Raw genomic sequence first — 23082 nt, 5'->3', positions numbered from 1 at the left:
TGATCCACAGCACCCGCCATTTTATTTTTTTTTTTAGAGATAGTCTTGTTGGCATTCAGTGATATAATCATAGCTCACTGCAGGCTCAGACTCCTGGGCTCAAGCAATCCTCCTGCCTCAGCCTCCTGAGTAGCTAGAACTACAGGTGTGCTCCACCAGAGGGCCAATTTTTTAATTTTGTTGTAAAAATGGGGTCTCATGGCTGGGTGCAGTGGCTCACGCCTGTAATCCAAGCACTTTGGGAGGCCGAGGCAGGCGGATTACCTAAGGTCAGGAATTTGAGACCAGCCTGGCCAACATGGTGAAACCCTGTCTCTACTAATAATAAAAAAGTAGACGGATGTGGCAGTGCGTGTCTGTAATCCCAGCTACTCAGGAGGCTGACGCAGGAGAATCTCTGGAAGCTGGGAGACAGAGGTTGCAGTGAGCCGAGATCATGCCACTACACTCCAGCCTGAGTGACAGAGCAAGATTCTATCTAAAAAAAAAAAAAAAAAAAAAATGGGTCTCACTGTGATGTCCAGGCAGGTCTTGGGCTCCTAGACTCAAGCAATTCTTCCCCCTTGGCCTCTCAAAATGTTGGGTGTGAGCCACCATGCCCAGCCATATTTCTTTCCTGTCACCATTACTACATCTCACAAGGCGGGTACTATTATCTCTATTTCACAGATGATACTACGGTTCAAAGAGGTGAAGGAATTTGTTCAAAATCACAGGACGAGCCAAAGGCAGACGGGATTTAAGCCCCAAAGCTCTTCCTCTCCTTCCTCTGCTTCTCTAAATTTGTTTTATTATATTCATGTGTATATGTATATATATGTATATATTTATGTAATTTCCCCTGCTTTGCATTTCTAAACTTCTTCCTGATTTTCCTGGAGCATCTGTGGTTAACAGTAATCAGAAACTTGGGTTCTAGCTGTTTCCCCTGAGGGTGTTTCTCCAATCTGAGACTGGATTCTTAAGGGATTTTAGAGTTTGTGTGTCTGTGTTTTTCGGTGTACCTCTTTCAAAATAATGTGTTTAGACAACATATTAGCATCTTTTAAAGGCTGGGAGTAAGGGACGAGGGCAGAAAACACTGCCAATCTAAAATTCCATACCCAGTGAAAACAGTTTTTGGCCAGGCCCAGTGGCTCACGACTGTAATCCCAGCACTTTGGGAGGCTGAGGCAGGAAGATTGCTTGAGCCCAGGAGTTTGAGACCAGCCTGGGCAACATGGCAAAACTCTGTCTCTACTGAAAATATTTTTTAAATTAGCCAGGCGTGGTGGCACGCGTCTGTGGTCCCAGCTACTCTGAAAGGCTGAGGTGGGAGGATTGCTGGAGCCCAGGAGGCTGAGGTTGCAGTGGGCTGAGGTTGCAATGAGCTGAGATCATACCAACCACTGCACTTCAGCCTGGGACAGAGTTAGACCCTGTCTCAAAAAAAAAAAAAAAGAAAAGAAGAAAGAAAAAAAAAAGGAAACAGGCTTTTAAAATGAAGGTAAAATAAGATTCTTCGGGCAGAAGAAAAATAATTCCATATGAAATAATGGAAATGCAAGGAAAAGGGCAAACATAAGTGAATATTGACTCTACAAAAGCAACAATGATAATAGTATGTGTAATTTAAAATATATGAAAAATGAGGCTGCGGCCGGGTGCGTTGGCTCACGCCTGTAATCCCAGCATTTTGGGAGGCTGAGATGGGCGAATCACGAGGCCAGGAGTTCGAGACCAGCCTGGCCAACCTGGTGAAACCCTGTCTCTACTAAAAATACAAAAAATAGCTGGGCATGGTGGCGGGCGTCTGTAATCCCAGCTACTCATAAGGCTGAGGCAGGAGAATTGTTTAAACCTGGGAGGCAGAGGTTGCAGTGAGCTGAGATCACGCCATCGCACTCTAGCCTGGGCAACAGAGCGAGTCTGCACCTGAAAAAAAAAAAAAAAAAAAAAAAAGGAAGCTGGGCGCAGTGGCTCACACCTGTAATCCCAGCACTTTGGGATGCTGAGGTGGGCGGATCACCTGAGGTCAGGAGTTCAACACTAGCTTGGCCAACATGATGAAACCCCATCTCTACTAAAAATAAAAAAATTAACTGGGCTTGATGGCGGGCACCTGTAGTCCCAGCTACTCTGGAGGCTGAGGCAAGAGAATCGCTTGAACCCGGGAGGCGGAGGTTATGGTGAGCTGAGATCACGCCACTACACTCCATCCTGGGCGACGGAGTGAGACCCTGTCTCAAAAAAAAAAAAAAAAAAAAAAGATGACAAAGAAAAGGTTGTGTAAAAATCCAACCATCAAAATACTCAAAACCAAATTTGTGATATTATAGCATAGGCGTCTTTGTTATTGCATTAAATAACAAGATCTGATGGTAAGTCTAATTTCTAAGTCATAGAAATGAGCATAAATGATACTTGGGAAATCTACTATTACTTTCATTTGATATTAAATACAAATTTGCATATACAACACACATAACATATGCACACACGGTTGCCCCACATTAGCAGAGACAAAATGAAATGGAATCTACTGCCTTTGAGAAATAGGACAAGATGCAATGGCTCACACCTATAATCCCGGCACATTGGGAGGCCAAAGCAGGTGGATCACTTGAGCCCAGGGGTTCAAGACTATTCTGGACAACATAATGAGACTCCAGTCTAAAAGAAACAAACAAACAAACAAACAAAACTCAAAAATAAATAAATAATTAAGAAAATAAATGTATCAGGTGTGGTGGCTCATGCCTGTGACGCCAGCACTTTGTGAGACTGAGGCAGGCTTGCTTGAGCCCAGAAGTTTGAGACCAGCCTGGGCCACATAGGAAGACCCTGTCTATAAAAAAAAAAAGTTTTTTAGGTAGCCAGGTGTGATGATGCATGCCTGTGGTCCCAGCTCCTTGGGAGGCTGAAGTGGCTGGATAGCTTGAGCCTAGGAGGTTGAGACTGCAGTGAGCTCTGTTTGCACCACTTCACTCCAGCCTGGGCAACAGAGTGAGACCCTGTCTCAAAAGAAAAAAAAAAAGAAGAAGAAGAAAAGAAAATTAATGGCAATGCAAAATGGAGGCTGGGCGCAATTGCTCATGCCTGTAATGCCAGCACTTTGGGAGGTTGAACTAGGCAGATCACTTGAGGTCAGGAGTTGGAGAACAGCTTGGCCAACATGGTGAAACCTCATCTCTGCTAAAAATACAAAAGTTAGCTGGGCATGGTGGCACATGCCAGTAGTACCACCTACTCAGGAGGCTGAGGCAGGAGAATCGCTTGAACCCAGGTTGCAGCGAGCTGAGTTCATGCCACTGCACTCCAGCCTGGGCAACAGACCAAGACTCATCTCAAAAAAAAAAAAAGTGGGATGCCTCCAGTACAGCAAGGACTCCATTTCCTTAAGGCTATTCCATTTAAAGTGTCTGCATAAAATCCTCATGGGGTCTCCAGGATTGCCCAGAAAGAGGGTAATATGACTCTTTTCTTGAAAAAATAGGTAACATTTAGTCCTCTATAATACAAGAAAAGAAAATTTTAAAAAATTTTTTTGGTTTTGGAGACAGAATTTCACTGTTACCCAGGCAGGAGTGCAGTGACACAATCACAGCTCATTGCAGCCTCCATCTCCCAGGCTCAAATGATCCTCCTGCCCCATTTTTAAATTTTTTTTGTAGGAATGGGGTATCACTATGTTGCTCAGGTGGCCTTGAACTCCTGGGCTCAAGAGATCCTCCTGCCTTGGCCTTTCCAAGTGCTGGGAATTACAGGCGTGAGCCACCATGCCTAGCCCCAAAAAAATAATTTTTAAAAAGTAGGAAGCAAAGGTTCTCATATGAGGTCACAGCTACTGAAAGAAGTAACCAATGAATCCACAGACCTCTCTCTTGCCTGTCCAATACCCCACGCAAGACAACTAGTCAGGCAGAGACTTATTAGCAGCTTATCAGCACGGAACTGGAAAGGACTGCCCATTATCTGGGTAATAGAAGAGATAAGTGTGTTTGGATGGGGAGGAGAATGTGTGTTTAAAGTACTGTTGTGTTGTCAATTCTGATTCTCCCAAACTATCAGAGTTGCCTAAGTGACCCTGTATCAGGTGCATCACCGAGAAATGCTAATTTCCAAAACAAGCCAAGTGGGAATGAATCACAAGCAATCCAACACATGGTAACGGAAGACAGGAATCCCTGAACTTAGCCCACTGGTTGTCTCGGGCGCTGGCGGTCAGAGATGTGACAATGAGGGCAGATGGTGAGGCTCCTTAGACAGCAGAGAAAGGGGTTTGGGATTTTTATGACTTGCAGAAAATGGGGAACCGCCAAAAGTTTTGTAGGAGAGGAGAAACCCACCGGGCACTGTGCTTCAAGGTCACAGAGTTCATCTCGGAGCAACAAACACTTTCTAGGGTTTGCTTCACATGGATCTTGTGCTAGGCACAGGCTTGAGGTGGCGAAAGAAAGATCGAGTTCCTGTTCCCAGAGAACAAACAATCCCCACAGTATGACAAATACAGTGATGGGGCCAGGCGGGGTGGCTCATGCCCATAACCCTAGCACTTTGGGAGGCAGAGGCAGGCAGATCACCTGAGGTCAGGAGTTCGAGACCAGCCTGGCCAACATGGTGAAACCCTGTCTCTACTAAAAATACAAAAATTAGCTGGGCATGGTGGCACGTGCCTGTAGTCCCAGCTATTTGGGAGGCTGAGGCAGGAGAATTGCTTGAATTCAGGAGTTGGAGGTTGCAGTGAGCCGAGATCAGGCCTCTGCACTCTAGCCTGGGTGACAGAGTGAGACTCTGTCTCAAAAAAAAAAAAAAAAAAAACCCAGATGGAAAGGAGCTCCAGGAGGGTTTTTTGGAGGAGGCAGACCTGACTGAAAGGCTGACAGGTAGGAGTGAGCCAGATAAAGAGGGGGCTGTGAAGGCACTTATAGCAATGGGAACATCTTTGGAGGGGAGGGAGAACAAATGTGAGTAGGATGGGGTGCTGGACACCTCTCATCTGACCCCCAGATCCACTCTGTACATTTCAGCACTTTGCTCTGTGCCCCAGGCAGTTGAACTTCATGGACTACATTCATGATAACCTTGACCTTGGTTTCTGGTCAGGTTCTGCCTGTGGAAGACACTGGCAGGAGATGGGAGGTGAGGAGAAAGGCTGGTATGTATATCCCCTGCTCTCCCTCTCTCCTTCCTCTTGACCCTTCAAGCCAGGGGGAGTGGATGAGGTGCCCTCTGTTATCAGTCTCAAAGTACTGCTTTTTGGTTTTCCCAAACCCTACTAACCCTCCATAAAAGTTGCTTTATTAAATACCCCCAAAGGTATCCTCTGTACCCTGCTGGGACCATGACTGATACAGCAGCATGGAGGAGGTTTTTCATTATCCAAATACAATATGAGGCGCGGTGGCTCACACCTGTAATCCCAGCACTTTGGGAGGCCAAGGCAGGCAGATCACTTGAGGTCAGGAGTTCAAGACCAGCCTGGTGAACATAGTGAAACCCCGTCTCTGCTAAAGATACAAAAACATTAGCCAGGTGTGGTGGCGGCCCCTGTAATCCCAGCTACTAGGGAGGCTGAGGCATAAGAATTGCTTGAACCTGGGAGACGGAGGTTGCAGTGAACCGAGATTGCGCCACTGCACTCCAGCCTGGGCAACAGAGCGACTCAGTCTAAAAACAAAACAAAACAAGAACAAAACAAATACAACATGACAGTCTCCTAAACTAGGAGAGGAGTGGGAAGATTACCTTGTGAATGTACAGCACTCTACAGCAACAAAGGCTTTTCTCAGCATGGACTTATCCACAGCTCCCAACTACCCCAGGTCAGAGGCCACCAATTCCATCTCACAGATGTGCAGCAGCAGAGGCCTGGAGAGTATGTGGAGACTTGGCCAAGAGACATGACCTGTCAGTGAGAGACCCAGAGCCCACAGCCTGATTTTTTCAGTTGCTAATCCATTCCCTTTCTACCAGTGCAGCTCTAAGTGGGCCTGGAATGGTGGAAGAAATTCAAAGAGGCCTTCCAGGTGCGTGCACACATACATGTACATGTCTTCCACAGGAATCAGTGAGTCATTCAACAAACATTTATTGAGCTCTGACTGGATTTACAGACCTGTCTTAGAAACTGAGGGATGAAAGAGATTAGATATGGGGAAAAGGAGAATGAGTCAGAAGGAGGGGTGGAAGCACAGGGTGGTAGAAGAAAACACTGGCCCCGCAGTCCGGCAGTCCTGGTTCCCAGGCCCAGTCTATGAAATGTGTCTCTGAGATCTTCCATCGACTGAACCTGGAGAGATCAGCCATTTCTGGTTTTGAACAAAGAAGTCAAGTCAATTTCAGATGCAGCTGCAAGCTGAAATTCCTCCAACAGCTCTAGACTTCTGGGCATGACACACAACACCCTTTATCAACTGGCCTTCTCTCATCTCTCCAGCCTTGATTGCCGGAGGCTCTCTGCCTCCCATCCTTCTACCCTGACATTAGAAGCTACCCACAGCTTCCCATAAGCCACACTTGCTCTCACCTCCAAGACTTTGCACTAGCTATTCCTTGTGCCTGGAAGGCTTTTTCTCACACTTAGCTCTACAGTTGACCCTTGAACAACACAGGAGTTACAAGTGCCAACCTCTCCCACAACCCCACATAGTCAAAAATCCACAAAAATTCTGACTCCCTCAAAACTTAATTACTAATAGCCTACTGTTGGCCAGAAGCCTTTCTGATAACATAGTTGATTAACACATATTTTGTAGGTTATGTGCATTATATACTGTATTCTTACAATAAAGTTAGAAAAACAATTATCTATCTATCCACCCACCCACTGGGTGGCATGAGCCACTGGGGATGGTGGCTCATGCCTACAATCCCAGCAATTTTGGAGGCCAAGGTGGGCAGATCCCTTGAGTCCAGGAGTTCAAAACCAGCTTGGGTAACACAGCGAGACCCTGTCACTACAAAAATTACAAAATTAGTCAAGCACGGTGCCATATGTTTCTAATCCCAGCTACTCAGGAGGCTGAGGTAGGATGATCGAATCACTTGAGCCCAGGAGATGGAGACTGCAGTGAGCCATGATCACACCACAGCACTCCAGCCTGGGTGACAGAGCAAAACCCTGTTTGGAAAAAAAATAAATAAATAAGAGAAAAAATATACCTACTATTCATTAAGTGAAAATGTATCATCATAAAGGTCTTCATCCTTGTGATTTTCACATTGAATAGGCTGAGGAGGAGGAGGAAGCAGGGGCTTGGTCTTGCTGTCTCAGAGGTGGCAGAGGCAGAAGAAAATCCTCCTATAAGTAGACCTGCACAGTTCAGTGCTGTGTTATTCAAGAATCAACTGTAATTTCTTCACCTGTAAAACGCTTACTCAAACTTCAAGATTCAATTCAGGCTAATTACTGTATCCTCAGTAATACCCGCACAGAGAAAGCCCCCAAATCTTGGCAAATAATGATTCAACTGATTAAGTAATCATAAAATAGCTACCATGTAGTGAGTCCATGTCCATGGGATAACAATAAAAATATCAAACAAGCTCTTTGGGGACTAGGAACTTGAATGTAGCTGAAGAGTGAGTGAGCAGGGAGATGATTAGATGGATGAGTAAACAGATAGATAAAAACGAATGGATGGCCTAGCGCAGTGGCTCACACCTATAATCCCAGCACTTTGGGAGGCCGAGGCAGGTGGATCACTTGAGGTCAGGAGTTTGAGACCACCCTGGCCAACATGGTGAAACCCCATCTCTACTAAAAAGACAAAAATTAGCTGGGTGCGGTGGCATGTGCCTATAATCCCAGCTACTCAGGAGGCTGAAGCACAAGAATCATTTGAACCAGGGAGGCGGAGGTTGCAGTGAGCCAAGATTGTGCCACTGCACTCCAGCCTGGGTGACAGAGTGAGACTCTGTGTCACAAAAAAAAAAAAAAAAAAAATGGATGGATGGAGAAATAGATGGATTGAAAATGAGTGTGTGACAGTTGGCAGATGAATGGGGAATTAAATGGATGGATGACTTCATGAACAAATGGTTGAATGGATGGGATTACTTGCTTGCATTGATCAAAACAGACTTGACCTAATCTCAAAGTGGTAAGAAAGGAGAGGAATCTAGCTGGTGAGATTGGAACTGTGGAGCTTAAAAAAACGTTGAGAATCTTACTAGCAAACATAAGGTCTGCTTGTGAACAAGTTACTATCATCACAAAGCTCTGAATAAGTTCCAATCTGCTATTCCAGGCGAAGTCCGGAGGATGATGCCAGCCATGAGAGTCTGATCAACTGGACTGACTGATCAACAGAACTTAACTTGCTGGAAGTCTATTGGAGTTAGGTCAGATATAGAACCTTAAGGCTTTGGGATCTGACAAAAACATCTGTATTTGTGATTCTTATGACAAGACGGCAATGCACAAATCGATGTGAGAAGACAGGAGGGGTGCATGAACTGCTAACTCCTCTTACTGTCAGAACTTCAAAGTGCAGGTTTTGCACAAACCAGCCTGCCTCCCCAGGACCTCTCAGCACACTTTCATTATGATGGACTTTCTTGAATCTCAAAGTATTCTGACAGCTGTGTCCCAGACCGCATTGCTCCTTGGAAACTTGAACTTCACATTAACCCCATCTCCTCTGTTACCCCACAATCTCCCTTTACCTCCCCTCATAGAGGGTGCTCATGGCTTGCAAATCCGTAGCTTCCAGAGGGCTGGGGAGAGCACTCTGATGACCAGACCAATGCTGCTTCACCCAGGAAAAGCCCTATTGTAAGTTATGACTAGGGTAGGGATGGATTTCCTTTGGAGCCAAAGATGAAGCATTAGCAAGAGTCTGCTTTCAATGAGAGTCTGCAGTGTAAGGGAATTTTTTTCTTTTTCTTTTTTTTAATTACAGAACTTACTTTTCTTTTAAAAAAGAATTCAGAGCTAGCACAGGAAAACAGTGAGGTTTCAAAAGTACTTCAGCCTTGACAAAGCCCTTCACATAGTTTTGATTTTTGTTTGTTTTTTGATATGCAGTTTTACTCTGCCTCCCAGGCTGAAGTGCAGTGGCGCAATCTCAGCTCACTGCAACCTCTGCCTCCCGGGTTCAAGGGATTCTTGTGCCTCAACCTCCCGAGTATCTGGGATTACAGCGCGTGCCACCACACTTGGCTAAATTTTGTATTTTTAGTAGAAACGGGGTTTCGCCATGTTGGCCAGACTGGTCTCGAACTCCTGACCTCAAGTGATCCACCCGCCTTGGTCTCCCAAAATGCTGAGATTACAGGCATGAGCCACCGTGCCTGGCCTTAGTTTTCTTTTTGAGCTCCACAAGACCCTTCTAAGAAGGGTTTCTACTTTGGCTGCACAATAGAATCACCTGGAGAGTTTTTAGAACTCTTGATTTCTAAAGCCGGATCCCAGAACAATTACATAAGAATCATGGGGATGAAGTGGGTCTGAGCCCCAGGTGATTCCAATATCAGCCCAGGTAAAAACAAGTGCTCCAAGGTCTTAGCCTCATTTTGCCAAGGCAGGAGGCTCCAGAGGGGTGAAATAAGTTGGCCCCAGATCTCAAGCTTGTGAAAGTGAATTTCAAAACCAGGTCCTCTCTTCACTCTCTGTGTTCTTCCAGATGTGGCTCTTATGGCCACTGTAAAAAGTAGTAACTAATATGTACAGTTGTTCCCTAGTATCTGAGAGGAATACATTTCAAGATCCCCAGTGGATGCCTGAAACCACGGATAGTACCTTATATAAAACCATGATTTTTCTTTTTAAAAAAATGTTTGCTGGGCAAGATGGCTCACGCCTGTAATCCCAACACTTTGGGAAGCTGAGGCAGGAGGACTGCTTGAGCCCAGGAGTTCAAGACCAGTCTGGGCAACACAGGGAGACCCTGTCTATATAAAAAGTTAAAAAATTAGCTGGGTGTGGTAGCTTATGCCTGTAGTCCCAGTTACTTGGGAGGCCAAGGTGGGAGGATCACTTGAGCCTGGGAGGTCAAGGCTGAAGTGGGCCATGATCACACCACTGCACTCCAGCTTGAGTGACAGAATGAGACCGTTTCAAAAAAAAAAAAATAGAGATAGGGTCTGTGTCATCCTGGCTGGAGTGCAGTGGCATGATCAGAGCTCACTATAACCTCAAATTCCTGGGCTAAACATTTCTCCTGCCTCAGCCTTCTAAGTAGCTAGAACCACAGGTGTGTGCTGCCATGCCCAGATAATTTTTTTTTTTTATAGACACGGGGTTTTGCTATATTGCCCAGGCTGATCTTGAACTCCGGGGCTCAAGTAGTCCTCCTGCCTTGGCCTCCCAAAGTGCTGCGATTACACACATCAGCCACTGTGTGGGCCCTATACTATGGCTTTTTGATCTGAAACCTCTATTATTATACCCATTTTACTAATACAGACCCAAAGCTCAGGGCAGTAAACACACCTAGGAATTGTTGGGGTTTGAACTCTGGTTTGTCTGAAAATATAGTCTATGTTCTTCATCATCATGCTGTACCTTCTCAATTTTTTTTTTTTTTTTTGAGACGGAGTCTTCCTCTGTGGTAGGCTGGAGTACAGTGGCCTGATCTCAGCTCACTGCAACCTCCGCCTCCTGGGTTCCAGTGATTCCCCAGTCTCAACCTCTAGAGTAGCTGGGATTACAGGCAACTACCAGCACATCCGGCTAATTTTTGTATGTTTTTTTTTTTAGTAGAGATGGGGTTTCGCCATGTTGGCCAGGCTGGTCTTGAACTCCTGACCTCAGGTGATCCACCTGCCTCGGCCTCCCAAAGTACTGGGATTACAGGCATGAGCCATGGCGCCCGGCCTCCTCAAATATTTTTGAATATCTGATAACATCCCTGTAACTTGATCATGTGTTCAGGCAATGAGTCTAAGAAGAGAATATTTAATCAAAAACAATTTTTTTTTTTAATTTTTAGAGATAAAGTTTCACTATGCTGCTCAAACTGGTCTTGAACTCCTGGCCTCCAGCAATCCTCTCATCTTAGCCTCCCAAAATGCTGGGATTACAGAGAAGAGAACATTTAAATATGACTTGTTTTTTTCACCTTCATCATTCCTTAGACAGCTTCTTCCATCTAGAAGTGGAAGAGCAGTATAGAGAAGAGGATATAGTTGTATATAATTTGTCATAAGTATATGACGTATAAGTTATTATTTATACTTATGGTATATATATATGTATCATAAACCACTGGACTCCTCATTCCATCATACATTCCTCTTCCCTTCCAAACATACCAAGCAATTTTTCACACTTATTATGTCATTTAATAGACATAATAGGCCTATAAAGTAGTTTCTAAAATGTCTGTTTCCCAGGTGAAGAAACTCAGCCCTAGAGGACCAAATGATACAACTAATGTCATCAGTGACGGAGCCTGGATGGCCTCAAGCCAATCTGCCTCCAGAGCTCAAGAGCTGAGATATGCCTTTCTCCCTGCACAACCGTGACCTTACACCCTCAACCTGTCATCAGAACTAAGGAAATTCTGTTTTAACCAGGAGAAACAATTATTTGGGTATAGGTTAAATGCATAATTATACATGTATTTTGAGTAGAAGTAGATGGTTTAGAGGTACAAAGATCAAGAATATTTTGGCATAGAGATGAACCAAAAGTTGAGCCTTCTACACTGGCTGATGTCAGCTGAAAGCTGAGCCTAAGGGGATAAAAGGAAGGAAAGACCTACACCTCAATGGCAACTTTTTTTTTTTTTTAAAGAAACAGAGTCTTGCTCTGTCACCCAGACTGGAGTGCAGTGGTTCAATCTTGGCTCACTGCAACCTCCGCCTCCCGGGTTCAGGTGAGTCTCCTGCCTCTCTGCCTCCCAAGTAGCTGGGATTACAGGAGTGCACCACCACACCCTGTTAAGTTTTGTATTTTTAGTAGAGATGGAGTTTCACCATGTTGGCCAGGCTGGTCTCAAACTCCTGACCTCAGGTGATCCACCTGCCTCAGCCTCCCAAAGTGCTGGGATTATAGGCATAAGCCACCACACCCGGCTTAATATTTTATAAACAACAAAAAAAGTTCCTTTGCTTGAATCCAAACATAGTTTTGAGACCATGCGTGGTGGCTCATACCTATAGTCCCACTTTGGGAAGCTGATAGGAAGATCACTTGAGGCCAGGAGCTGGGGACCAGCCTGGGCAACATGGCGAGACCCTGTCTCTACAAAAAGTTAAAAAATTAGCCAGGTGTGGTGTCATGTGCCTGTAGTCCTAGCTATCTGGGATGCTGAAGTGGGAGGATCACGTGGGGGTCGAGGCTGCAGTGAGCCATGATGGCACCACTGCACTCCAGCTTGGGCAACAGAGTAAGACCCTGTCTCAAAAAACAAAGAAATATGGCCAGGTGTGGTGGCTCACGCCTGTAATTCCAGCACTTAGGGAGGCCGAGGGCAATCGGATCACTTGAGGCCAGGAGTTCCATGGCCCATCCTGTTCCATGCCTCATGCAGCTGCATCTATCTGCAATGCCTTTTTTATTTTTTTTTTGTCTCGCTCTATCGCCCAGGCTGGAGTGCAGTGGTGTGATCTCGGCTCACTGCAAGCTCCGCCTCCCGGGTTCACACCATTCTCCTGCCTCAGCCTCCCGAGTAGCTGGGTCTACAGGCACCCACCACCATGCCCAGCTAAATTTTTGTATTTTTAGTGGAGACGGGGTTTCACTGTGTTAGCCAGGATGGTCTCAATCTCCTGACCTGGTGATCCGCCTGCCTCAGCCTCCCAAAGTGCTGGGATTACAGGCGTGAGCCACCGTGCCCGGCCTCTACCTGCAATGCCTTTCTTCCCTCCTCAGCCTCCAATGAGCCTGCTCAAAAGTCAGCTCTGGTCACACGGGAATCCCATCCCAAAACCAGAGTGCATCTTTTACCCCTCGCTCTCACAACACATATGGGTTGAGTATCCCTCATTTGAAATGCTTGAGACCAGAAGTGTTTTGGATTTAAGATTTGGGAATATTTGCATACACATAATGAGATATCTTGGGGATGAGACCCAAGTCTAAACACAAAATTCATTTATGTTTCATATACACCTTATACACATAGCCTATGGCAATTCTATACAAAATTTTTAACAATTTTGTGCAAGAAATAGTTTTGACTGCGACCTATCATATTAGGTCAGGTGTGGAATTTTCCACTTGTGGTGTTACGATGGCACTCAAAAAGTTTCTGATCTTGGCCAGGCATGGTCGCTCACACCTGTAATCCTAGCACTTCGGGAGGCCAAGACGGGTGGATCACCTGAGGTCAGGAGCTCGAGACCAGCCAGGCCAACGTGGCAAAACCCCATCTCTACGAAAAATACAAAAATTACAGGTGGCGCATGCCTGTAATCCCAGCTACTCAGGAGGCTGAGGCAGGAGAATTGCATGAATCCAGGAGGAAGAGGTTGCAGTGAGCTGAGATTGTGCCACTGCCCTGTACCCTGGGCGACAGAGCGAGCCTCCATCTCAAAAAAAAAAAAAAAAAAGTTTCAGATTTTGAATTTTTGAATTAAGGATGCTCAAATTATACTATATTTTATTGAGATCACTGCTTTCCACCTCCCCCAGTATGCTTGGCATTTTCAGGGCAGAGATTTATATCTTACTGTTTATGTATCCCAAGCATCTGGCATGGTACCTCCTACATACGGAGTGACATCAGAATTTTGAAGAATATGGCCAGCACAGTGGCTCACACCTGCAAACCCAGCACTTTGGGAGGCTGAGGCAGGCAGATCACCTGAGGTCAGGAGTTCGAGACCAGCCTGGCCAACATAGTGAAATTTCATCTCTACTAAAAATGCAAAAATTGGCCGGGCATGGTGGCGGGTGCCTGTAATCCCAACTACTCAGGAGGCTAAGGCAGGAGAATCACTTGAACCCAGGAGGCAGAGGTTGCAGTGAGCTGAGATCGGGCCACTACACTCCAGCCTGGGTGACAGAGCAAGACTCCATCTCCAAAAAAAAAAAAAAAAAAAAAAGTTTTAAGAATAAATGAATGTTGTCCACACCTCAATTCTTAAAAGCTTATACTTATGTGTAGCCTCTGCCTATAAGAATTAAGCCTGGGTGTGGTGGCTCACTCCTGTAATGCCAGTACTTTGGGAGGCCAAAGTGGGAGGATTGCTTGAGGCCAGGAGTATGTGACCAGCCTGGGTAATATAGTGAGACCCTGTCTCTACAAAAGAAAACAACAATAATGATAAAATAATACAGATTTTTTTCAAGAAAGTTAATGTTTGTAATGGGTCCCTTAATTTGCACAGAACTTCAAATTAAATTATTCCAATCTTTGGAGTGACCCTCAGGGTATTATTATGACCTTTCCCAGATGAGAGAAACAATAGCCAAAAGTTACACTGTCAAAACTGGTGGAACTGGGATCCTGGCATTTTGGCCCTCCCTTCTCCACTGCAATGCCAGCCCCCGAGATGGCATGTACAAATCTACGTTATCTGTTATTTTTCACATGCTGCCAGCATGTCACAAATCCAGTCTAAATAAAATGTACAACTTCCTCTTGCTACCACAGCTCACCCTCCAGCTAGGATTTCTAATTTGCTGTCACCAACAGTATCCATTCCTGGACTGTGCTCATGCCTTTTCCATAAACCAGGACCATCTCTGGGAATCTGCTCTCCTTCTACCCAAGCCCAAAGCAAGTCTTGGGAAGGGGAAGGTCACAAATCCACCTGTTAGAGAAGGGAGTTTCTAGTTCAAAAAAAGTTCTTCCTCTACATCTCTAGGCATAAGAACCCTATTCCAGTCTCAAGCTACCTCCAAGAAAAGTGGCTCATCCAATTGGCCCTGTTAATTATGCCCAGGAGATGATCCTGGAATTGTGTTTGTGAACATTAAAATCCTAATGAAACGCACTAGGAAGCTTGGCATTTAAAGGATTCCTGCTAGCAATGAGTAAGCCACAGTGAAGATTCCTTCTGGAAGGGGAGTAACTGACCCCAGAGTAATTGTCCTGTTCATCTTATTGATACCTAATGGGTTGACTTAAAGAAGCGCTCACCAGCTCCTACTTCCGGGCCTGGAATTCTTGGAAATGTGGTCTTTCCGGGCTCCCCAATGCTTGGCATTGGAGCCTCGTTTCCTCATTCTGCTTCCCTTTCCTCCTGAAACTGTTTATAGACCTGAGGTCCCGCTTGTGAGCTGAGGAAGGGCTGAGGGCCCTCAGTGAGTTGTCCACCTTTGGGAAAACGAAGACACAGGGTGAGCAAAGCAATGTGCTAAATGACAAATAGTTAAAGATTTGTCTAGATTTCACAATGGCTCTGTGTCTTATATCACTTTCATTTTTATGTCGGAAACAGGATTCAGTGCCTCTTACTCACGGTTGCATCATTGATGACAGAGAGACATTGTGTTTCTTGGCAGAGGCTGGCCCTTACAGATGAACTGGGGAGAGGGGGCTCATGCTGGGCCTGAAACGTACTTTAGGAAGCCTTTTTCTCTCCCCTGTTGGAGACACTTCCTCACATTTCTCTCAACAATGGGTTCTAAGCCCCTCCACCCCTTCCTCAAACTAACAGCCTCATGCACCCCAAACAGGCTCATTCACCCTGAGCAAAGAAGACCCCATCCTACAGTCCCAGTGTTCCTCATCCACACTTCTGGGCCTGCCTCCCTTCTTCCTTTCACCTAAGTCTGCCACCTCCCCATCCATCTGCCCAGGAGCATCACACTAACCAACAACTCCTCTCCCTAAGGTGTCTGCAATCAACTCTTTCCACCAGCCCTTCCTGTCAACATCCAAACATGCCCAGGTTTCTCACACTGAAAAATTAAAAAATAAGTAATCCTTTCACCCGACTTCCCCTCCAGTTATGGCCTTAGCTCTCCCTGCACAGCTTCAAAACTGGCATCAGGCCCATCCTACTCCCAAAACAGTTCTTAACAAGGTCACTGTGATCTTTGGTTGATCAAACCCAGTTGTCAGTCTGGTTTCCTTCCTCCTTCCTCCTTACAGCTGATGCTCACTTCGTCCTCCCGAGCTTTTCTTGCCCACTAACTGCTCCCACAGGTTCCCAGCTTCAGCAGGCTCCTGGCCCCCATGGGCAGGACTGGGAGAAGTTCTCCCTGTAGACAGACCGGCCCTTGAGAAGCCACATTACAGTCTTGAAGGGTCCTATGTTATGGTCATGTGATCTAAAAATTAGTACTTTAATAGAGAAAGACTCCAAGTCCCCATCAATAATAGTTCCTATTTTCCAAAATTCCAGGAATGACTCCAGCCTCCATTAGATGGACGCAATCTTTCTTTAGAAATGCTAAAATTGTGGAGGGCCTTGATCTAGTCAGCTGTTCTGTCTTTACCAGAGATTTGCATATCTCTGGTTTCATCCTAGTTGATAGTTCCTTTCTTAGAAGGCAACCTCATTTAAAGTGGCTAAAATATGCTGTTGCCCTTGGGTATCAACAACAAAGAGTCCTGTAACTGACATGAGACCATCCGCAAGAAGTTCCTGATTCTTCATCTACTGACTAACCCCTGCCCTTGCCCCCTCCTCTGGTTCCTCCTCAGAGGCCTCCTAAAAGCCTTCCCATCCTGTAAGCCCCCAACCCCATTATGCAGTCAGACAGAACTAATGGTTCCCCTCAGCAGTCCCTCCCAGGATTATAAATTTATCATACTCAAGTATTGATTAGTCTTGACATTCTATTAGGGCCATTTAGGGGCTTATTCTCACATTTATTTTCATTTCAAAACAGTGTTAAAAAGCAATCAATAACTGCCTGATACCTAAACAAACACCCAGACTCATTATGTCAATAACCTGGTAAATGTTTTACTTGCTGGTTTCCAGCTGCCATGAGGAAAGATCCTCCCATTTGCCAGATGCTCAAATGGTGCCTGGAAAACAGATCTATAAGGTGCATTATCCTAGGAGGGAGCACTACAGTAAATCAACAATTTCAGGGTTGCTGAATGTTTCATAGCTATTTTTTGTCAGGGAGGGGGGTAAAGGCATGGTGTACTGGAAAAAGCATGGATTAAACTTGGATTCATAATTCACGGTAAGACTGTAATTCTTACTGTGTCACTTACTAGCTCTGTGTAGTCTCTAGAACTCAGTTTCCTCATCTATACGCAATGGTTAATGCAAATAACAGGATGGAGTGGGCACAGTGGCTCACACCTGTAATCCGAGCACTTTGGAAGGCCAAGGCAGGCGGATCACCTGAGGTCAGGAGTTCGAGACCAGCCTGACCAACACGGTGAAATCCCATCTCTACTAAAAATACAAAAATTAGCCAGGCATGATGGTGGGATCCTGTAGTCCCAGCTACTTGGGAGGCTGAGGCAGGAGAATCGCTTGAACCCAGGAGGCAGAGGTTGCAGTGAGGCAAGATCGTGCCGTTGCACTCCAGCCTCAGTGACAAATAACAGGATGGCCTCCCCTGCTAGGGATTGTTAAGGTAAGAGATATGAAAGCCCTTTGTGTGCTGTTAACTTCATGAGCCTTTTGTGAGCTTCAATGCCCTTGCTCAAATGGGCAGCAGAGTTGCTTTTGGCTGGTATCATGGATGATCTGTGATAGAAGAAAAACTGGAACAGCCAATTAAGCAGCTCAACTTTGCCTTGACCCAGCTGGTCACTTTGGACATAGTATGCCTGCATTACTTCACAGGATTCTTTGGAAGACAGTGACATAGGAAACAGCAAATGGTTTCCAAGGGGCAAGCAAGTCTTGGAGCACTCAATAGTATAAGCCCTTTATGAAGAAGCAAATTAAGGACATTTGTTCTTCTTCTGCCTGGGTAATATCAGCCACAGCAACAAGCACTGACAGAAAAGGAAAAAAAGAAAAGAAAAAGAAAAAAAAAAGAGAGAAACAGTGGAGAAACCATGTCTCTACTAAAAATATAAAAATAAGCGGGGTATGGCGGCGCGCTCCTGTAATCCCAGCTACTTGGGAGGCTGAGGCAGGAGAACTGCTTGAACCCGGGAGGCGGAGGTTGCAGCGAGCCAAGATCCCGCCACTGCTCTCCAGCCTGGGCGACAGAGCAAGACTCCGTCTCAAAGGAAAAAAAACATTTAGTCATCTACTGATAATATGAGCCACCCAACCCAACCCTCATGTGCCCAGTCTGGCAGCAGAAGACCCCTGCAGTCTGACCTTGAACTGGTCACTTCAGTTTCCCGTCCTCTTCATCAGTTCAACTAGGGACACTAAGAGAGCCCTCCTTCGGTGGTTATCTTGTCAGCATCAAGTGAGGTAATACATTTGAAAGAATTTGGTAAATAGTATCTGTTTACAAAGCTGTATGCATGTGAATGATCAACATTATTTACAGTAAGTTTGTGAGATAAATACGAAGGAAACCCGATGATAGTCCATTTTTTGGCCCTACTAGGCAAAGGCAGAAATTTCTGTTTAAGCAGAACCGGGGTGGGTGGGGCCTTCCAGTAACTAATGCAGCCCCAGAGAGAGGGTCTTAGATCAGGATCTAGAGCACAACAGCTTTGGTATTTTGGATTTGAGTCCTGCCTACTGTCAGTGACAATTTACATAATCCTAGGCAATTTATTTAATCTGTTTAAGCCTCCGCGTATCTTCTGTAAAATGAGAATAATAATAGCACATACCTCACAGGGTTGTTATGTTGATTATTTGAGATAATGCACTTAAAACAATTTGCACAATGCCGGCTCAGTACAAAGTTAGATGTACTTTGGGTAGGCTGGAGGAGGAAAAAGGGAGTGGATGTATTAACTGGTAATTTAGTTCTGTTTTGCTCCCTGCCATGGCTTGTTCTCACCTAAGGAAGTATTTAAAAATTACACATATTTGCAAGTACTGGAACATCATATGGAAGATGAGAGTTGGTATTGCTACTTATGGTGGAGAGATAGGGAAGTGATTGCTTTTCCTTTATCTTTTGTCACAATGTTGTTTGCACAAAGGATACAGCTTTGTTTTGTTTTGTTTTAATTTAAAACTAAAATACAAGACTTGCCCTGAAATGTAGTAGCAGTTGGCTCTGAAAATGCCTTAAAGTGGGGAAGTCTTTGAAAGGTAGAGACAGAAATCTGTAGCTTGCAGGAAGAGAAGTCAGAAAGATAATATTAAAGTGATACATTCCCATTGCACTTGAAATATGGGCCAGGCACGGTGGCTTACGCCTGTATTACCAGCACTTTGGAAGGCCGAGGCGGGCGGATCACCTGAGGTCGGGAGTTCGAGACCAGCCTGACCACCATGAAGAAACCCCATCTCTACTAAAAATACAAAAATAGCCAGGTGTGGTGGCACATGCCTGTAATCCCAGCTACTTGGGAAGCTGAGGCAGGAGAATTGCTTAAACCCGGGAGGTGGAGGTTGCGGTGAGCCAAGATCGCGCCACTGCACTCCAGCCTGTGCAGCAAGAGTGAAACTCCATCTCAAAACAAAAGAAAAAAGAAAGAAAGAAAACCTATGAACCTCACTGAGGCCTAAAAGTAGTTCCATGAATATAGAAGATACTCAAGGTAGGACTGAGCTGTTGTTACCTTTCGCCTTCCAGTTGCCTTTCCCCCTGCCTCCTGGGCCAGCAAGCATTCTGGTGTCCAGCTCTCCTGGCCTCTCTCAACACTGCCTGCCATGCTCTGCCAGCTACTTCCGTGTTTGCAACTCAGGTCTCTGCTCATGTTATCTACTTCTAAAATACCTTGGCATTCTATCTCATTATCCTTTTTATTTTCTTTTATTTATTTATTTATTTTTTTTTGAGATGAAGTCTGACTCTTGTTGCCCAGGCTGGAGTGCAATGTCACAACCTCGGCTCACTGCAACCTCCGCCTCCTGGGTTCAAGCAATTCTCCTGCCTCAGCCTCCTGAGTACCTGGGATTACAGGCATGCGCCACCACACCCAGCTAATTTTGTATTTTTAGTAGAGACGGGGTTTTTCCATGTTGGTCAGGCTGGTCTCGAACTCCCAACCTCAGGTGATCTGCCCACTTCGGCCTCCCAAAGTGCTAGGATTACAAGTGTGAGCCACAGTGCCCAGCCCCTTTTTATTTTCTTCGTACGTATACACTGTCACACATTATCTCATTTGCTTACATTTTGCTGTGTTTACCCATTTATTTACGTGTTTGCTTTCTTTAGAATACAGTAGCTCCCCCTTATTGGAGGCTTTGCCTTCTTCAGTTTCAGCTACCGGAGGTCAGCAAAGGTCTGAAAATACTAAATGAAATATTCCAGCTTTGGAGACTTCAGTGCCATCCAGAGCCTCTTGCCACCAGCTATAGTCAACCCCACCATATTCTTTGACATCGTGGTCCACGGGCCACGTCTCCTTCAGGCTGTTTGCAGACAAAATTCCGAAAACAGCAGAAAACTTTCATGCTCTCAACACTGGAGAGAAAGGATTTGGTTATAAGGGTTCCTGAATTCATAGAATTATTCTACAGTTTATGAGTTAGGGTGGTGACTTCACATGCCATAATGACACTGGTGGCAAATTCATCTATGGGGAGAAATTTGATGATGAGAACCTCATCCGGAAGCACAAAGGTCCTGGTATCTTGTCCATGGCAAATGCTGGACCCAACACAAAAGGCTTCCAGTTTTTCATGTGCACCACCAAGACTGAGTGGTCGGATGGCAAGCACGTGGTCTTTGACAAGGTGAAGGACAGCATGGATATCATGGATGCCATGGAGCACTCTTAGTCTAGGAATGGCAAGACCAGCAAGAAGATCCCCATTGCTGGCTAATAAATTTGACTTGTGTTTTATCTTAACCACCAGACCATTCCTTCTGTATTTCAGGTGAGTACCCCTCCACCTCATTTGCTCACACTATCCTCTGATCTTTGTGCTCTCACTGCAGTTCCTGGGTTCCATATCTTCCTTATTGCCTTCCATGTCTAGCTGGATTGCAGAGTTAAGTTTATGATGGTGAAATCAAAGCTAAATAACATAAAAAAAAAAAAAAGGAGAAGAAATATTCAAAGGCCAGGCATGGTGGCTCATGCCTATGATACCAGCACTTTGGAAGGCTGAGGCAAGAGGATCATTTGAGCCCAGGAGTTTCAGACCAGCCTATGCAATAGAGCAAGACCTCATCTTTAAAAACGAACAATAAATAAGTAAATAAATATTTACTTTTTAAAAATAACAAAAAGAAACATTCTGGAAATAATTCATGTTTTAAATTGCACACAATTCTGAGTAGCGTGATGAAATCTCTCACTATCCCACTCTGTCCGGCGAGGACATGAATCATTCCTTTGTCCACTGCATTGACACAGGCTACACACCCATTAGCCACTTAGTAGCTGTCTGCATGATCCATTAGACTGCTGTGGTAACTCAGTGCTTGTGTTCAAGTCATCCTTAATTTACTTAACAATGTCCCCAAAGAGCAAGAATGGTGATGCTGACAGTCTAAATATGCCAAACATAAGCTGTAAAGTGCTTCCTTTAAGTTAGTCTCTTACTGTGCCTAATTTATAAATTACACTTTTATCTTTTTATTTATTTATTTATTTATTTTTGAGACAGAGTCTCACTATGTTGGTCAGGCTGGTCTCAAACTCCAGACTTCAAGTTATCCACCTGCCTCGCCCTCCCAAAGTGCTGGGATTACAGGCGTGAGCCACCACACTTGACCTAGAAGCCACTTAGATCTGATGCCTGGGCTTTAGAGTGGCAGCGGATATAAGAGCAATGGTCCATGTCTTTTCTAAATAAAAAACCAAAAGACAAAATTTAGCTTAAGGGAATGAAAATCTTAGGAAATCTCATAGCTCACTTTGATTTAACCCACATTTACTGGGCCAAGTCCCATAGCAAGATGAACAAGATTCAGAGTGTATTCCTCATAGGGTAAATATGACTAGAATGGGAATCATGAATAAAAAGCAGAATGGGAAAAGAGTAATAAGGTACCAGCAATAAATTCTTCGGGAGCATGGAGCAAAGATTCAGAAGCCCCATCTAAAGTGAACTCTAAGGAGACTTTGGCCTTCCCTTTCTGTCAAGGTGAAAGTGCAACCTGTGAAAAGTGAAATCCACAACAGAAACTGCCCGTGAGGTCATCTTACCAGCCTCCCCTGCTCTCACGGTCAAGATAGCTCCTTAATGTCTGACATCTTTTTCTCAGCATTGCAAACAGTGGCAGGCCTGGGGGCAGATGGGCAAACTGCCTTGCTGTTTGCAGAAAGGAGGACAAGATCTTGAACCACTTAGTTCTTCAAGAGGAACAAGTAGTTCTGACCACATCTTGGGTTGTTCTAGAGGCTGCTAGGAAAGAAATGAAACTTCTGCTTACACTGGCAGGTGAAGGTGAAGCACTGAACTCCAAGAGAAAATACCCTAGTGCCTCTTTTTATTTATTTTTATTTTTATTTGATTTTTATAGAGACAGGGAGTCTCACTACGTTGCTCAGGCTGGTCTTGAACTGCTAGGCTCAAAGGATCCTCCATCCTCGGCTGCCCAAAGTGCTGGAATTACAGGCCTGGGCCACTGTGCCTGGCCAAGTGTCTCCTTTTAGCAATGAGCCTGCTGTTGCAAGGGTTGTGTGCTTATGAGCTTTTGTGGACCCTTTTACAATTAAAAAAAAAAAAAGTCCCTTCTAACCTACCATGTTAGAAGTGCCACTGTTTACACAGCAGAACCTGGAGGTTCATCTCCATGAAGTGGTTTGTGGAAAAGCTAGAGCTGTGGGATCCACATGTCTCGGCTCAGTCCTGTGCCACTCGCTATTTTACTTAAGCAACTCTTTCCCCTTCTGAGCCTCAGTTTCCTCATCTTCCATCTGAGGAACTGGATGAGAGTAGTGTCTTTCAAACTGCAAATTTTGATCCATTCATAAATAATAAAATCAATCTAGTGGGTTGCAACCTTTTCTTTTTTTTGAGATGGAGTCTCGCTCTGTTGCCTAGACTAGAGTGTAATGCCGTGATCTCAGCTCACTGCAACCTCCGCCTGCCAGGTTCAAGTGATTTTCCTGCCTCAGCCTCCTGAGTAGCTGGGATTACAGGCACCCACCATCATGCCTAGCTAATTTTCGTATTTTGTAGAGATGGGGTTTCACCACGTTGGCCAGGCTGGTCTTGAACTCTTGACCTCAGGTGATCCACCTG

The 23082-nt window shown here is 45.0% G+C and overlaps 1 pseudogene, besides 1 other annotated feature; it reads left to right on the top strand.

Moving 5' to 3' along the window:
• PPIAP88 (peptidylprolyl isomerase A pseudogene 88) lies at nucleotides 20238-20703 on the top strand (annotated as a pseudogene).
• Nucleotides 22149-22318: an enhancer, noted in NCBI's record as "active region_28751". NCBI's record gives its function as "activates an Ori minimal core promoter by ATAC-STARR-seq in GM12878 lymphoblastoid cells {active_cell/tissue: GM12878}" and the evidence as "EXISTENCE:reporter gene assay evidence [ECO:0000049][PMID:35858748]".

The sequence above is a fragment of the Homo sapiens genome, chromosome 9 (genome assembly GCF_000001405.40).
Source record: "Homo sapiens chromosome 9, GRCh38.p14 Primary Assembly".
NCBI classification, from domain to species: Eukaryota; Metazoa; Chordata; class Mammalia; order Primates; family Hominidae; genus Homo; species Homo sapiens.
This window is presented reverse-complemented; position numbering and strand designations above follow the sequence as displayed.